Source organism: Homo sapiens, chromosome 5, assembly GCF_000001405.40.
Source record: "Homo sapiens chromosome 5, GRCh38.p14 Primary Assembly".
NCBI lineage: Eukaryota > Metazoa > Chordata > Mammalia > Primates > Hominidae > Homo > Homo sapiens.
The window spans coordinates 60,501,817-60,520,666 of NC_000005.10; the positions used below are offsets into that span (position 1 = coordinate 60,501,817).

Consider the following 18,850-nt stretch of genomic DNA (forward strand, 5'->3'; position numbering starts at 1 on the left):
TTCGTGTCCTTCGCCCACTTTTTGATGGGGTTGTTTGTTTTTTTCTTGTAAATTTGTTCGAGTTCATTGTAGATTCTGGATATTAGCCCTTTGTCAGATGAATAGATTGTGAAAATTTTCTCCCATCCTGTAGGTTGCTTGTTCACTCTGATGGTAGTTTCTTTTGCTGTGCAGAAGCTCTTTAGTTTAATTAGATCCCATTTGTCAATTTTGGCTTTGGTTGCCATTGCTTTTGGTGTTTTAGACATGAAGTCCTTGCCCATGCCTATGTCCTGAATGGTAATGCCTAGGTTTTCTTCTAGGGTTTTTATGGTTTTAGGTCTAACGTTTAAGTCTTTAATCCATCTTGAATTAATTTTTGTATAAGGTGTAAGGAAGGGATCCAGTTTCAGCTTTCTACATATGGCTAGCCAGTTTTCCCAGGACCATTTATTAAATAGGGAATCCTTTCCCCATTGCTTGTTTTTCTCAGATTTGTCAAAGATCAGATAGTTGTAGATATGTGGCATTATTTCTGAGGGCTCTGTTCTGTTCCATTGATCTATATCTCTGTTTTGGTAGCAGTACCATGCTGTTTTGGTTACTGTAGCCTTGTAGTATAGTTTGAAGTCAGGTAGTGTGATGCCTCCAGCTTTGTTCTTTTGGCTTAGGATTGACTTGGCAATGCGGGATCTTTTTTGGTGCCATATGAACTTTAAAGTAGTTTTTTCCAATTCTGTGAAGAAAGTCATTGGTAGCTTGATGGAAGCTGTAGACCAGAGCTGTTCCTATTCGGCCATCTTGGCTGTCCCCCTGCTACAGGTTTTCAATCTGACAAAGGAGAGAGTTTTCTGTGCTGATCCAGAACTGAAAGTATGAAGGTAGAATTATTGCCAAAACAGCAGTGTCAATCTCTAAATCTCTAAAATAGTTGATCCATGCTTTTGGAGGGAGCTTATCCCTTCAAAGCAGTAATAAAAGTGTTTTAGGGATCTCTTGTAGCCTCTAGCACATGACAGGCAGAACTTTTCTATCTGTATTTTTTTCAGTTCTAGATTTAATATCAGTTCTATAACATAGTTGATATGTCTTATTTTCTTAGAATTTCTTTATAATAAGTTACTATATTCAGCATTATAGACAATAATTTTAGACCTGCCTCCTAAGGTTAGGAAATTTTTAGAACCTTACAACAAGGGCAAAATTCACTTATGCTCTCAGCAGCAAGCCTAACTGAGCTTTTGTGAAATCACTGAACTAAGCTACTGAAGTTGAGTATCACTCAAACGTCCATATCTTTTTGATGATGTGGATTGACTATCTGGAGTAAAGATAGCCATACTAGTATCAATATTAACCATCACGAATAAAAATGGAAGAGAAAGAAAGTGAGGGAATCCACGATACTCCTTTCCCTAATAACTCAGCAGAAAACAAGACAAAACATAAACAGGGCAGAATACCCTATAGACAGAATACTCTGTCTATAGAATATCCTAGAGTATTCTGTCTATAGGATATTCTACTCACTACAAGAACACCAACATTGTCAATATTTATTTGATACTCTGCTATGTGTGCTGTTTAGCCAACAACTGTTCCAAGTTATTAGTAAGTTCTCCCTCAATTTCTTTATTCTTGGCTATTATTTTCTTTGTCTTGCTTTGGTCCTCTTGCTTTTTCATGTCTACATTCCTTTGGTATTCCTTGCATTTATATTTACTCCTCCCTTTATCCCTCTGTCCTTTATTATATGAAAGTGCTTTTAGAGGAATCAAGAATCTATGGAAACGTAAGGTTGTTGTATCTTTATTACTGGTATGTTTATTATTCATGTCAAGGCATTATTAAATGCCTTTTACACGCTCACTATTGTATCTACAACTTGTTTCTCCTGCTTTTGTCTTATCTGGTCTTCTACGGGTTTATCAGAATATAGCACATAAATATTAACAATGGAAGCAGAGTTGAAGATCATTCTGTTAACTTTTTTTAAAATCTGGAAGTATCCAGTGAGCCAGGCAACATTTGTTAAACACCATCTGCAAACACAATCAGGGTATCAAAATTACAGAGGAAATTCCAAAGATATGAAAGATGTGTTTCTTGACCTTTGTAAGCTTCAAACCCAGTCAGAATGACAAGTCACATGATAAGCAACTGAAGGGGACAGCTGTAAGATATACAGATAACTAGAGTTCAAACCGAGAACCAAATTTGAGTCAGCCAGGTAGAGTTGATCATGTAACTATTTCCTGAAAGTGAATTTTAAAAAGAAAAGAAAGATGATAAGTCAAAGGGAATAAGGGCTTCCTATCCGACCCATCAATGTTATTAAATCCATTTCAAAGCCTTCTGCAGTCTCCTGGGGACTATGCAATTCTCTGATGACTTTCCCATTTATGTTTTGAATGTATTATCAAAAGCTCCCTTGGAACTTAAGAAAGCTCTAATATGTCTTTATGCATTTTTTTTTTGCTTCCATGATCTTGCATATAGCTTTTGTATAACTACAGCCTGCTTCTCTAGTTCTTTTAAGGTTTTTTTTTTTAGGTCTTTTTAGGTATATATTTTTAGCATGACATGTGAAAGGCAACATTTTTTTAAAAGCAGTTCTGTAACATCTGCTGTTTGAGGTAGGTGGTATAGTACAAGCAGCTCTTGAGACTTTATTTCATCCCTCTCCAGTGCACTGTATTGTCCCTCAGGCAGTTTCATTCTCTCTACAAAAAAAGATCAGGTAACAAAACAGCCTCTGCTACACTAAAATGGGGAAACTAAAGCAAAACCATCTAAGTGCAGTCGGAACTGCAGCAAGCTCCAGGTTGAAGTTGATTGACTTCAGTAAGCTCCAAGCTTAGGTTGTAATCATTTCCACCATCTTTTCAACAGTCTGCATCTTCTTTTTAAAATGTATTTGACATTAAAATTGACGTAATGGCTTTTACTTGAAAATTAAAATTTATTATGGTTAGAAAAATGGGGATATTCTTTTAAATGAGAAGCCAGATTCCCAATCCCAGAAGAGTTTCTGTCTGTTTAATTGATTTCTTCATGCCACGTGGGGTTTAAAGCCGGGTTGCAAATGGGAGAGCTCCCCTAAACCTATCCTCCCCCAACAAAAGCATAAAATGCCTCATCTGTCTGCATGTAGGTGACATTCATTTTGTTCCAAAATAAAGGATACAATGTCAAAATCAAATATCTAAATAGAATGAACATAAATCTTACATTTGCTCAAAGGTGTGCTTGATTGATTATTCCTGAAAGCTAGCATTTCTTGTGAAGGGGGCTTTGGATAACTCCCTAGAGGGAGAAAAAGAGAGGAAACACTGTAAGACTATACAGACAGAATAGAAAAGGTTGACTTTTTCACAATATTTCCAAAGGTCAATGAAGGCAAGGGGCACTGTTAGGACATAAGCATTACTCACTATTCTCCATGCTCGTCAGGGCTCTCTCCTTGCCATTTTGGCACATTTAGGAATCTTGTACAATTTGCATGTTTGTTTCCAATCAGGCAAATTTAATAAAGTCCCATTTTCACCATATCTCTTTGAGTTTTAAACATATAATATTGGGATAAAGCCTTTGTCTTGCTGGTTATCCTTTTCTCTACCCAGCTCTGTCTTCTGGATGAAGAAGGAAGAGCTCTCAAACCCAGAAAGCATATCAACGTACGTTCTTCTCCACTGTGAAACACTGAGCTGAGCACTCTATAATACAGCCACGGGACTTGCACACTGCAAGACAGTGTTATTTGCCTGGTTCTTTTCATCATAGGTTTGATTTAGCAGGCAAATTTACAAGGCTCAGTGCTGACGGATATACCCTGAGGCCACTTCGAAGCCAGACCTTAGGTTTATGGAAATAAAATAAGCATAGTACTTCAATTACAAATACCTACTTTACATTCTAATGTACACTTAAAAATGTTCATCCTATAAATCCTGGCCTTGATTTCTGACTCAGTTAGAGGGTCTCCTGATTTGGTCCTTGGCTTCTCCCTTAGGGTGCCATTTTAATTCAGTCTGCATTCATACATATATAAATCGAGATCCACCATCTTATCTAATACATGTATCTCTTTGCCAGTTGGCAGGCTTTTGGAGAGATTAAAAGTTATGCTGCCTGTCTCTAGCCCAGTCAGGAAGCAGCTGAAAAGCCCACACAGCCAACACAATTTGCATCTTCTTCATCAAAGCTTTCAAAGTACAGATGCCAGCCTGTTGGTACCAGGGTGGATTAGAACATTCCTCTCCTCTGCATACTGTCTGAGATCCAGATGGCAAGCTCTGAAAGGTGGCTATACAGAGACAGGCAAACAGGCAGTCAGCATCATTGCAGTGTCTACTTGCGTAGGGCATATAGGAAAGGACACAGTTCCTGTTCTGGAAGAACTGGAACATGTATTCACTCACAAGTGCACACCAACTTGCACATGTATGCACCAACATGCACACAAACATGAATGCATACATGCACACGTGAATACACTCATTCTCATGCATACCCTATGTATGCACATATACACATGTGTTCCTGATATAATGGGAAAATACTTTGGGAAATCCCAAAAAGAATACATACTTTTTAATTAATGCAAAAGCACTACTGAGGCTCTGAGGTTTGGAACAGACTATTCCATGAATGCTTCCTCTACCTTACAAAATTAAAAACCAGGATAAAGAAACAAAGGGAACAGTGGTAAATATTTGAAAAACTGAATAGCAAAAATTATATTCTGAGCAGAGGAGAAAAAAGGCTAATGCTGTCAAAGAAAAGCAGACAGAATTTAGTATTTTTTTTTAATCAGAGAAAGAACAAAAAGGAATGGAAAGCAAGAGAGGCCAGAGTTGCAAAGGAGGCTGAGTATGAAGGTTTAAGATGAAATGATACTGTGGGAAGAGAAGGGCTTGTAATTGAATTAACGTGAAATAACTGAGATTGCATTTTAACTTTCAGCCAAAATGAATGATGAGACATTTTAAAATGTAGAAACTAAGAAACAAGGATAGGACTTCCCGTAAGTAAATCATAGTTCAACTGGGACAAAATATGGTTGCAATATTTCTTCTGATTATAAAAATATATAGTCTTTTAGACAATTTGAAAAATACAAAAAGAAAAAATAAAAAGGAAAAGAAACACCTCTAGTCCTATTAGCAAAAGATAACCTCTGTTAACATGTTATTCTGTTCACACATAAACAAATTGTGATTATGCTATATATGCCATGATTATTTTCACATCATGTCTTGTCATAAACAGTTTTTCATAATATTAAGTGATTTTTTTTTTTTACATGGAGTTTCACCCTGTCGCCCAGGCTGGAGTGCAGTGGCACAATCTCGGCTCAACCTCTGCCTCCCATGTTGAAGCTATTCTCCTGCCTCAGCCTCCTGAGTAGCTGGGACTACAGGCACCCGCCACTATGCCTAGCTGATTTTTGTATTTTTAGTAGAGACAGGGTTTTGCCATGTTGGCCAGGCTGGTCTCGAACTCCTGACCTCAGGCGATCCACCTGCCTCAGCCTTCCAAAGTGCTGGGATTACAGGCTTGAGCCACCGCACCCGGCCTAAGTGATATTTTAAAACTGTAATTCTTAGACACTTTGATTCCTAGTTTTCATATTATGAACAAAAATGCTATAAATATCTTTATACATAATTTCTAATTACTTCCTTTTTCTTATTGCTTTCTTAGAATATATTATTGAAAGACAAATTTGGTATCTGGTGCAAAAAGTGGAAAATGTCTTTTTAGAAAATTCATACCAATTTATACTGCCACTGACAATATAGGAAGTTTTGTTTCACCACATCCTAGCCAAGAGTGAGCATTTTCTTTATTTAAAAAAAAAAATCTTCTGCTAGATTGATAGGGATACAAAATACAATGTCAAGACACCACCCCAAATAGAATTTAGTATTTGTGGTGCACAGTTAACCTCAGAATAAGCACAGAAGTTCTTAGACTTTTTGGAATCATGAACTCCTTTGAGAATCACATGAAAATTTATGAGCTTCCTTCTATAAAAATATTCATATACAGCAAAACAGACCCCTTGGAGCTCATCCTGGAACAACCTCAGACTGACTTATAAACATCTGACCTAAGTGGAATTTCTGGAACATGAGCTCATTTTAAGCCGGGACTCCAATAACTAGTTCGAGCGCATAGAGCCTGTATGGTTTAGTGGGAAAGGATTCAGTTTCAGCCATGAGGCTTGGTTTTCAGTTCTAGCTCTACATCTAAACATGCTCAGGTCCTTGTCACATACTGGGCCTGTAGGATCCCTTCCATCTATAAATCCCCGAAGCTCTAAGATAATGTCAACCTTCACTAGCATGTTGTAGACACCTACTCTATGGACAATATGTGGTTATTTTGTGAACCTACGTTGGGTTCCTTGTTGTTCAGGACCAGCCAAAACCTTCTTTGACTCTAGTCGATACCTGTTCCAGGAATACAAATTAATGTCAATACTGTTGATTACACACATCTCCTGTCTTCCATGATCAATTGAGAATTCCTTGGGAGCAAAAACTGTGTCTAGGTCAACTTTACCTAACTTACTCAACACATTTGCCAGTAAACACCAGTAAACATCTGCTAAAATAAACCAGAACAAAAGAGGATTTTATTTAGAGTTTTGTTTGAAACAGAAGAGAATAGAGCAACTTCCCAAGTCAAATAAAAGGAGTTCCATTTCACTTGGGTTGACTATAATTCTACAAAATGTCTAAACATGCATATCCATTGACCAACAAAAATGTTTACAGAGTTGATTCTTGTTATTTGTGGCAGTTACATTCTATAAAGTCACTGAGAACACTGAATTAGCAAATACTGAACCATTGCTCCCAGGGGAAATGTAAGATCAGGTTTCTGCAAGTTCTGGTCACAATATTTTCATCACCTAATCAATACATAACTTTGTTTTTTGTGTGTTTCTATTTAAAGATAGCTTATTTTAATATATATTGTTAATTCATTAACACTAAACACCCTGCCAGCAGCTCTATAACTCATGTTTGAACAAAGTTTATCCAACATGCAGATTTCTCTTTTTTTTTCTTTCTTTCTTTTCTTTTATTTATTTATTTATTTATTTATTTTGAGACACAGTCTTGCTCTGTCATCCAGGCTGGAGTGCAGTGGCATGATCTCGGTTCACTGCAACCTCCGCCTCTCGGGTTCAAGCTATTCTCATGCCTCAGCCTCCCGAGTAGCTAGGATTACAGGTGCACACCACCAGGCCCAGCTGATTTTTATGTTTTTAGTAGAGATGGGGTTGCACCATGTTGGCCAGGCTGGTCTCATGCACCAGGGCACCTGGCCAGATTTCTTCTTATTACAGCCTTCTTGTGCTTAGGAGCACTGGAGAGCACTTCAGCACTATGCTTGGAAGCCATTTCACATGACAAAATCACCAGTGAAAAACACAAGAATTCAAAAACACAGCATTAAACGTATCATGGAAAGGACCCTCGCTTACAGCATGAGGGCTGAAACACGATGGCTGAGCATCCCTTGTTCACCCTCAGCTGGAAATACACATGTGGCACTGCTTAAATTTTTCACTGCTTCACGCTCGTCCACAAATGACTGCAGAAGCGCCGCAAGGATTGCTTTTGGGATTACAGATAAATTTTAGCAAGTAGGTGGATTTGCAAACACATAATCTGTGATAATGAAGATTGACCATACATTGATTTTCTCTCCATTCAACTATTATTAGATCATTTCTCGCACCTGAGTTCCCCCTCCAATGCTAAGACTCCTAGGATTTTTTCTCTCATTTCATCTTTCTTTCCCTTCATCCACCTTTGACTTCACCTCCTGCTTCTTGGCTACACTTCTGGCCTTGCATGCCCACAGCTTCTGCATTTTTCTCTCCCAGTTGTACCTGACCTTTTCTTGCAGTCTTCTTTCATACTCTGTCCTGCTCCACCCCTTTCTTTTTTTTGTACTCAGTCTCCTAGAAGGCTACACTCTTTGGAGATATTTCTTTTAAAATTAGGTTATATTTATTAACATTTGTGATGAATACTTGGCCCAGTGAGCCTCCCTGGTCCAAGACAGGACCTTTGGGTATGGAGGACGATGAAAGGGAATTAATCGGGTCAGGGCTGGTGCCAGTGGGACCAGTATAAGGGCTGAGGAACCAACCCATAGGTGAAGCAGGAAGAAGAGAAACATCACAGCTAGTTCCAGCACAACAGATCCCATCAGAAGTCAAACTCTGAGGAGAGATAAGGAGAGGCCAGGCCTTGAGCTAAGGGGAAGACAACGTATAGGGAAGGTCCAGACAATAAATGGCTCTGCAGGAGACCAGGGAATCAAAAAAGAGTGGAGTAAGAGAGCCCTAAGCAGCAGCTGCTGGGAGAACAGTGAGACATTCTCTGGCTTCCTACATGCAATAATTCTCAGCAGCCCATCAGAGAAAGAGAACACAGAAAGGAAGAACCACTTCCAGCTGAAAGACAGGGCAGGCAGCCCACAGAGACAGCATTCTGCAAAAGTTTCTCTGTCCTTGGTTTCCATCTCAAGGTTTCTTTCTATACCTAGTCTCCCTACCTTAGAACACTACAACGCCCACCTCTTGCTTTTAACACTCGAATTCATCCTCTACATCTAGGGAGACTATAGATAAGATGGTGTTTCTCTTATATCTTAAAGAATGAGTACAATTTTGAGAGGCAAGAAATGGCTAAAAAAACATGTCTAGCTAAAATAACAGCTGGGAAGGACACGGTACTAATGGAGATTTGCAATTAGTCCTATGGCCGGAGTATAGGCTGCAGGAAAGGAAACAGGAGGTGATACAGCTGGAAGGGCAAGAGTACGGAGGGCCTTACATCTTAATGAGGCTGAAGTGTTTTCCACAGACAACAGCTGTCTATGAATGTGTGAATGATGATGGCATGATTTTGTTTTAGAAAGATAATTTCTGGAAAAAGTATAAAGGATGGATTGGAGAGACAATAAATGGGAGTTAAGTGGTAAGGCAGCTACTGTGAAAACCCAGACAAGTGATACTGTGTGGGTTCCAGCACTGACAGCAGAGATGGGGAGAGGCAGACACCTGTGATGGAGGCACAATTATCCTTGGTAACAGCTTTCACATGCTTGAAATTCCTCCTGCCGTGGTAGTTTTTTTGTTTTGTTTTGTTTTGTTTTGTTTCTTTGAGACAGTCTTGCACTGTCGCCCAGGCTGGAGTGGAGTGCAGTGGCGAGTTCTTACTGCAACCTCCACCTCCCTGATCCAAGCAATTCTCCTGCCTCAACCTCCCAAGTAGCTGGGATTATAGGTGCTTGCCACCATGCCGAGATAATTTTTGTATTTTCAGTAGAGACGATGCTTTGCTATGTTGACCACACTGGTCTCGAACTCCTGACCTCAAGTGATCCTCCCACCTTGGCCTCCCAAAGTGAGGGATTACAGGCATAAGCCACCATGCCCAGCCCTGCCATGGTGTTTTAAACACTGCTAAGCTTGTTGTTAGAGACTCAATAAATGCTTGTTAAATTAAGAATACAGAATTTATTATAAGCTGTTGACTCCCATGTTCACTAAATATACCTATCTTGGTAAACTCTAAAGAATAAAGTAAGTTACTTTAATTTATTTTATAAGAATAATTCTCCTACTGGAATATTATTTGCCAATACATTATTCTATGAACAAACTTAGGCAATAACATACTATAGAAATTTAATAATAATAATAATAATAATAATAATAATGGCTGCCATATATGAATATGATACTAACTCATTTCCCACTTCGTTTATTCTTAAAACAGCATTGTAAGGTAGAAATTATGGACCCTGTGTTACAGATAAGGAAACTAATGCTTAGAAAGTTGGAGTTGTTTTTCCAAGGATACACAACTAGTAAGGAACAGAGCTACTATTCCAGCCCAGGTTTGTCTTAATCTAAAATCCATATTCATAATTGTCACATTATATTGTAGTGCATTTTAGTACAGAAAAAATATTTTAAAATATCAAATTTTTAAATATCAAAATTTTAAAATATTTTAAAAGTAAAAGCACTAAGTTCATATTTCAAGCACTCTATTAATGCTAAAAGAATTTAATATTGTATCCAAAATATTTTTTAGGTGAAAATATAAGTCGTAAGTCAAATGCACACGTATAGACCCAATATGCTCAGTAGGAAGGTGTCACATTTAGTTGTTTTGCTGAAAACTGATACCCAAAACTGAGAATATTCAATGAAACACAGCTAATCAACATCTATGTAAAAATAAAAGTGTAAATTATCTGGAAAACACATACAAGGCAGGATCTCTTGAATGACTTCACAAATGAGAAAGATATAAAATAATATGACATGAGATTCTTAGAGAATGAACTACTCCAAGTCAGTGGAAATCAAGTTCAAGCAAAATATATGCATATATGCTTTTTGCATTATTTTTAACATACTTTTACATACTTCTTTTAACTTAGGTTTATGTACATTTTATGCTCCCTCTCTCTCTCTTCAAGAGTTAGAAAAATACTTCCTAGAATTGTTTTGATAGTCCTGGACCAACCCTTAGTCTATATGTAAAACAAAGGTCTCTATTTTGAATCATCAAATACTTGATTCCTTTGATCATCTGCATTCAATCTGCAGATGTAAAAATACTTTATACTAAATATCTATAAACTTTAAATCCCATTAAAAAAAGAAGTATGGGTTTGTGGATACATTTTTATTCATCCTTTGAGTTAAATATTTCTACCTACCTACCTAGGGAAGTTTTAGAAGACTTTGGATGGCAATGGAAGCAGAAAACAATGAAACATCTTCAAATGCCTAAGGAAAAGGAAATTCAACCTAGAATTCTATACCAAGTGAAAATGTATTTCAGAAACAAAGCTAAAATAAAGACATTTTCAGAAAAATAAAAGCTGAGAGATTCCTCAGCAGCTTTCACGTACTCAAGGAAGCACTGCAGGTACTCTTCAGGCAGACAGAAATGATCGCAGCTGGGAAACTGAGATACAGAAAAAACGAGGAGTCAAAAAGGGGGCTAACTATGTGGGTATATCTAAATAGATATTGACTGTCTTTGATAATAATGTCCTGAGGGGGTTAATATTGATGCCAAATGAAAACACATAAACAGAAGTGTATAAGTTGGGAGTGGTGGAAGTCAACAGAGCAGGAAAAGTGGAAAATAATAATAAATTTTCTAAACCTCAAGACAAAGAAAGTAAAAAAGATTTTAAAAAAGGGGAAACAAAAGATGAGACAAATGGAGAGCAAATAATAATGATAGATTTAAACAAAACACAAATATAATAATTACATAAATCACAAACATTAAGATTTTATTCAAAAGACGAAATTTGCCAGGCTGTATTAAACAAAGCTATATGTTTCTTACAAGAGACATTTCTTAAATATATAAGATTGAAGGTGAAAAGAATAGAAAGAGGTCGCTATGCAGGCACTACCCCAGAATAAAGCTGAAGTAGCCATGTTCACACCATACAAAGTAGATTTTAAGACAAAACATTAATAGATAAAGAGGAGGAAATACATGGCTGAATTTACTAGGAAGATATAATAATTTTAAAAGTATATGCTCCTAATAACAGAGGCTTAAATTATTTAAAGCAAAAATGAACAGAATTACAAAAACTGATAATCCCACAAATCATAAGACATTTTAACACACCTCTTGTAACAGACTAATAAGTGGGAAAATAGTCACCAGTTATAGAGAAAATGGGAACAACATGATTTTAAAACTTCAACATATATAGAACACAGCCCTAGTAATGGCAGAATTCAAATTCTCTTAAAGTGACCAAAGTGGAATTAAACTAGATATCAATAACAAAAAGACAACTGGAAAATCCCCATATATTTAGAAATTAGGTAATATATTTATAAAGAACATGTAGCTCAAAGAAGAAATCAAAACAGATATTGGAAAACATTTTGAACTGAATAAAAGTGAAAATCCTACAGTAGAAAATTTGTGCCATATAGCTAAATCCAGCCTTTGAGGGAGATGTATAGTCTTAAATGTAAATATTAAGTGAGAATAAAGCCTAAAAATCAATTATCTTAACATATATTTCAATAAATTATATAATTATAATTATATAAGAACAGCAAATTAAGTCCAAAGAAAAAGAAGAAATGAAATGATAATATAAGAATAGAAATCAATGAAAATTTTAAAAACATACAATAAAGAATATCAATAAAAAGCCAACAGATGGTTCTTTGAAATGACTAATAAAACTGATAAGCCCCTAGTGAGACTGACTGATAAAGGAGGAAATAACAAAAGGTACAAATATCCAATATCTGAAATGAAAAAGGGACATTAACTGAAGATCCTTCAGATATATTAAAATTATATTCTGAGTAACCTTAAGCAAATAAACTTGTTTATATGAAATGGACGATTCACTGTTGAATTCTGCCAAACAGATAAGGAAGAATTAACAGTAATCTTACATAAACTCTACAGAGAAGAGAAAAACAGGAACCACTCCCAACTTGTATTATGAAGTCAGCATATCCTTTACACCAAAACCCAACAAAGTTATTAAAAGAAAAGAAAAGTCAAGCCAGAACTCTCTTACATGTGACAGTGCAAAATCTTAAATGTTAACCACCTGAATCCAGTAATGAAACACAGTGTAACTAAATTCAGTTTAGTTACTACAAGGTTGGAGACTAATACAGTTGGTTTAACATTCAAAATATCAATTTAATATAGTTAACCAGATTAACAGAATGAGGGAGAAATTTCTATTATATCAACAGATTCAGAAATGCCATTTGATAAAATTTAACGTCTAACAAGAAAACTCTTAGCAAACTAGAAACAGAAGAAAACTCTTTAAATGTAATAAAAGGTGTTTACAAAAAAAATTGTTAACACCACAAAAAAAATAACTCAATATTGAAATGCTACAAGCTTTTCTTCTGAAATCAGGAATGAGAAAAAAATGCTTACCATCAACATTTCTATTTGACACTGGAAATCTCAGCCAAAGCAATAAAGCAAGGGGGGGAAAACAAGAAAAGGCATAGGATTGAAAAAGAATAAGCAAAATAAAAATATTCTTAGACAATGTGATTGTGTTATTGAAAAGAATCTATAGCTGAAGTGTTTCCATTAACCACAAAGTTTAGCAAGTTTGCTGGATAGAAAAATCAACTGTATTTCTGATACTTGCAACAGGGTAAAAATTACAAAACAATAAAATTTGCAACAGCATCAAAAATATCAAATACATACAAATACATCTAACAAAAGATGTATATGATCACTGCAGTGAACCATTTTTCTTTGTGTCAGTACCACACTTAAGTATTGTACTTTATAGTAAGTATTGATATCAGATAGTTTTAAGTTTTTCCTCCGTGTTCTTTTACTTTAGGGCTATATTGCCTCTTCTTGGCTACTTGCATTTCCATATAAATTTTGGAATAAGATTGTGAGTCTCCATTATAAAATAAAGACTGTTGACCCTTTTATTGAAATATCATTGATTTTATGGGAGAACTGATGTCATTATAATAAATAGTCTTTCTATCCATGCATAATTTAGTCCCCCCATTAATTTACATCTTTACTGTCTTTCAAAAATGGTTTCTAAATTTCTAATACATGGTGTTATAAGTTATTAGAGTGGTTTCTTTTGGACAATCGAAAAAGAATAGTTATTAGGAAAGAGCATAAGGTAAAGGAGAGATTATATGTTTTAAGATAAGGTGTTAGTTCTTGATCTGAGCTTTCTTTCCTTTTCTTTTTCTTTTTTTTTTTTTTTTTTCTGTCAGGATGAGAAGAGGCAGTGCCTCAAAATAAAACTGAGATGGCCACAACCCATTATGTATGATACGGATGATATGTGGATAGTGCGTAAGAACTCAAGAGGCACCCACTGGATGTTCCTCTAGATCAGGGTTTTTCAAACTGTAGGTTATGTGTTTACTGGGTTACAAACCAGACTCATTTTCAATAAAAAAGAAGAGAATACAAATCATGAAAGTACATTGTGTGCAATAGGTTGAACATTGTTTCATGACACTTTTGCTTAAGCTATGCCTACATACATACATATAAATAAATGTACATCTGTATAGACTGTGATGTGAAATCTATCTCTTATTGATTACAGCCAAAATATTTGAAAAACTATGCTCTAAGTGTCTATAAATTCTAAGTGTCATCATGTTATAACACCTAGTACCTACCACTGCCAGGTATTTCGCAGCTATACCATTTCACTTGTGCTCAGATTAAGCCTGTTTTGTGAATATTAAGTTTGCGATGGAATAGAAATGAACAAAAGTTAATGGTGAAAGATTCATAATCAATATATCAATGTAATAAGAAACTGTAGGTTATGAGTGAGTTAACTTGAGAAAAATATGAGAACAACAATGTAATGAAGGTTACCAGGGCTCAGTGTCTTTGAAAGAGGATGTTTGAGAACTACTGGGCTTTAGCTCAGGAAGGGCATTAGAGGCAACATACATTCGCTTTCTGAAGGAGGCAGCAGGAGCTGCAGAGGCAGTGAGTGAATGATAAAGGACAGCTGTCTGGAGGACACCTGTCTCTGTCTGGCTCTCCATCCCTACCCTCAAGAACCACCTTAGCAATTTGCTCTCCCATCTCTCTGGTTCAGGACCACCCTTTCCCATATGATGTCTCTAGCCATCCTTAACTGGAATTTAGGCAAAAGACAGTAGGGTATTGAGAGGTGAGGAGAGCCACTTTACCCTGAGCTATGCCACTCAGAAGAAACCCTGTAGGTCAAAAACCTCCATATGTCACAACAATATGTAAAAGATTCAAATTATAGCAAAAATGATACCAACAATAATGAGAATTAATATTTATTGAGCTTCTATGTTATGCCAGACATTGTTCCCAGCATTTTACATGGATTAACTCATTTAATTTTCACAATAACACTAAGGTAGGTAATGTAATTGATGACAGTGGTGGCCCATCTGGAGTGGCTGCTGAGAAGACGCCAGCTGCAGCAGGCAAGGCGCAGCCAGGGCTGCACATTCCATGGAGCTGTTGGGAGCTGGGAACAGGCAGAAGCCCCACCCACTTCTGAGTGTGAGGGGTGGGAGTCCTGCCCTCCTGGGCACAGCTGCAGCCACCCAGCTGTGGGTGCAGACCCAGGCATCCCTGTACTCTCAGAAGCCCAGGAAACCCCCCTACCCCCACAGGCTCAGAAATGCCTGCTCCCACTGCCCAGCCTCTCCCCACTCCTAGCTCCCACTCCAATTTCAGAGCAAAGTTAAGTGCAAGCTGGGGCACTGTCACGACCCAGCTGTGTATGCCCGTGCTCAGAGTACCACTGACACACCAGCCCCCTGTTGCCTCGGCCCCCTCCAGACTCTGTGCACCAAGGAGCATGGGAGGGGGGCCAAGGGGGAGCTGAGAGTGGCTCAGTATGGGCTGCAGGTGCCCCTTGGCATGAACAGCCTGGGTGCCAGTGCAGCAGGTTGATGGCAGCGGGAGGCAGACGGACTCCTGGACAGAAAGGGGCAGTTTCCGTGAAGCCCCACCGTTAGGCCTGGGATGGCCTGAAGCCTGGGGGCCAGGCTGCTAGTTCCACAGACTGGAGTGAGAACTTACGCTGCCCACAGCTGTCCATAGACCAATTAGCACTCACTTCCCCTTCTCTGAAGCCCATAAAACTCCCTGGACTCAGCCAGACTGGGCAGAGGTTGGAACAACTGGCCTGCAGAGAGGAGCTACCCACTGTAGGTCTTCTCTCTCCTGAGAGCTGCACATTTGAAGGGATGACCTGCCTGCAGAGAGGAGCTACCCACTGTGGGTCTCCTCTCTCTTGAGAGCTGCAGGCTTGACAGGACAACCTGCCTGCAGAGAGGAGCTACCCACTTCAGGTCTCCTGGGAGCTGTACCGTCGCTCAATAAAGTTCCTCTCTGCCTTGCTCACCCTCCAGTTGTCCCTGTACCTCATTCTTCCAGGACACAGGACAAGAACTTGGGACCCACTAAATGGTGGGACTGAAAGAGCTGTAACACAAACAGGGCTGAAACACACCCCTTGCTTGCCATGTTGCAGGTGAGAAGAGGGAGAGAAGAGAGAAGAAGAGAGGAACTGCAGCCCTTCAGGGAGCCCAGACCTGGGAGCTCCCCAAGCCAGGGATGTGACACCCTCTTTGGGGCTCTGTAGTTCCTGGCGTCTCCAAGCTTCCAGGCACCACCACATTCCCGGGTGCCAGCAGTGGAAGCCATCTGTGGTACACCTGGTCCAGCCACAGCCTCACAGGGAGCTAGCACTTGTGTCGGCATCTGGAGCTGCCTGCCCTGCTTCAGCTGGCATGACTGGCTGTGCACAATGGGCAGCTCCCTTGTTCACATACCCCTTGCCTTTTTGTGCCTGGCTCACCCTTGGCAGGCATAAGATCTGGGCCAGTAGCGTGAGCCCAGCACAGCCTGCCCAGGCTGAGTGGGCAGAACCAGCCCAGTGGGCCCGAGCAAAACTCAGGCAAAGGCACCATTAGCCACAAAGGTTTCTGGCTGGCAAAGCAACACCCCAAGGATCCTGTGACATTTTCCCCATTTTGCAAGTGAAGCAGATGAGGCACAGAATTTTTAAGCAACGAATACACAGCCTCACAGCTAAAAATTGTAGGAAATATAGAAAGAGAACAACTAAGAGTGGGCTATAAAGCAACCAGGAAAGAAGAGGATACTGAATTGTCAGCTTGACAAAATGGGACTCTATACAGTTTCCATTTGCCTTTAGTTAGAACTACAAGAGTTCATACACACACTCAAGGTAAACAGATGCGTGAACTCCCACAGCCTTTACCTGACCACTTGTGTATGGTATTTGTGGAAATGCCTGGTGTTATTTTTTTTTCTTCAAGAAAGATACTGCCTTTGAGGCTTCCAAACTAGTCTTCATAATGTTGAAAGTTGCTAGGGGCTCATCAGGACACTAATGCACAACCCAAGAAACTATCATCAGATGACTAAATTTCACCCTGCTTATTTGAGACACATCAGTCTCCTACCTTATTTTGGGAAATACAGCAAAATGGCTGGTAGACAGATGGTATTTTGCAGACCAACAAATTTAATCCATGCATCCACAGTCACTGGGGAGAAAACGTCATCAAAACCCCAAAGCCCAGTGAAATACCCATTCCAGAAACGGGGCTAACGTCAACCAACTGGGTTAAATATTGATCATTACATGGTGGTTTCTCCACAGAGCTGTTAAAGGAACTTAAAAAGTTGCTCAAAGGTGAGAGGAGAAGCAAGAAAGAGACAGAGGGCTAGCTATTACTAACGAACTTGAAGTACTTATTTAAAAGAGAGAGAACATTCAGCCTGACATTTAGACATTGCTTATGTGATGTGCACAGTCGTATTAAAGCCCTGACCTAAATTTAGCAGTTTAAAAAGAACTCAGTTTCTACTTCCACCCTTTTCCAAATGCCAGCTGAGAACTGATTTCTCAGACCCTTTCCATCCATAGGAAATCCCTGAGAACTTTACAAAAAATTTAAGAACAAAAAGGTCAGAAAGTTAAAACACAGTATGCAGTCTCTCTCCTTCCTAAAATGGCCATTTGGTTAAAATCCATTATAATGAAAGAGTTAAAATTCTGCACAGTTTAAGAACAACCAGTTGACCTTTAAATGTGCTGGTTTGAATCCAATCACCTTTCAACAAGCATGAAATCTGGCACAAGGTGTACTAATGCACACCAATTATTTTCATAGTGTACATGACTGATCTCACAGCGTCCTGTTTGGAAAAAAAAGAATAGTGTTCATTTTCCAAAAGCCAAACTTAGAGGCTGAGTGTCTCTGTTGGTGGGTGGGATTTTCCTTTGGTAACTGTCTCCAAAAGTGCCTTTGGAGGAGGCTTTTCCTTGAAAAAGCACAGCAGAATACCTTAAGGAAAATAACTTTTTCATTTTGTTTAAATTCTGTTAAATGAAATAGTTTCCTCCAACTTTTAATACGTCAAAGGTAAAAATAGCTGGGAAATAATTAATTACTATCCTTTGTTAAGAGCTTTCAAGCCATATATGTAGGAGAAAAAACAATCCACTGCCAGTGAAAGAGTGAAATACTGAATCCTACTTGGAGTAAATGGATTTAAAACCCAGAGATTCAAAACCAATCGTTGAGAGACTTTCTATTCCCTAAAATGATTATTTTCTTTTTAAAAAGTAATTCCCATGAGATTCTTCTAAATGATAGGATCCTCTGATATCTTCAAAATATAGTTCAAATTACAATGTACCTTCACAGGACTTTTAAGAACACACTGGATGGTTGTTTTTGTGCAATGTACAGACATAGGTGCCCTGTTATGGGGACTACACCATACAGCCAGATACACTCTGGTCAACTGCCAGACTATGTTCCTTCTCACCTCCTTTCTCTTCTACCTCTATGGTTCCTCCTGTACCCCAACCCACCCCATTTCCATCACAGTGGAATGCTCTCCCATGTCAGACAGTAACATGGACTACTAACCCCACACCTGGACCATATTCAAGCCAGAGTCGGATTTTCCTTTGTTGAATCCTTTGCCTGGGAGTGAGACTTCTGACATTCCCTCCCCAAATCCTTCTCTCAGCTCCTCACTTTGGTGGGAGACTTCTGTTGGCCATGCCTGTGTTTGTCAGCCCCTCCCTGCCACAATATTTGATTTTCCTCCTCATTCACTCTCTTTATCTTGTGAGTCCAGAAAAGAGAAAGGTCAGGATCTCACAGCAATATGGGTAGTGGCCCATGGCTTGTGGCCCCGGGCCAGCACTCAGATCTTCACCCACCCAGCCACTTCTGCTTTGGCACTGAGGAGGA

General features: G+C 38.6%; 1 protein-coding gene and 1 long non-coding RNA gene across 4 annotated transcripts in view; one reads left to right on the top strand and one right to left on the bottom strand.

Moving 5' to 3' along the window:
* The window catches only part of PDE4D (phosphodiesterase 4D), a 1,553,091-nt gene that overhangs the window by 1,532,779 nt on the left and 1,462 nt on the right, over window positions 1-18,850 (bottom strand). The gene's annotated exons all lie outside the window — the stretch shown is intronic.
* The window catches only part of PART1 (prostate androgen-regulated transcript 1), a 59,945-nt gene that overhangs the window by 14,104 nt on the left and 26,991 nt on the right, over window positions 1-18,850 (top strand). The window lies entirely within an intron of this gene.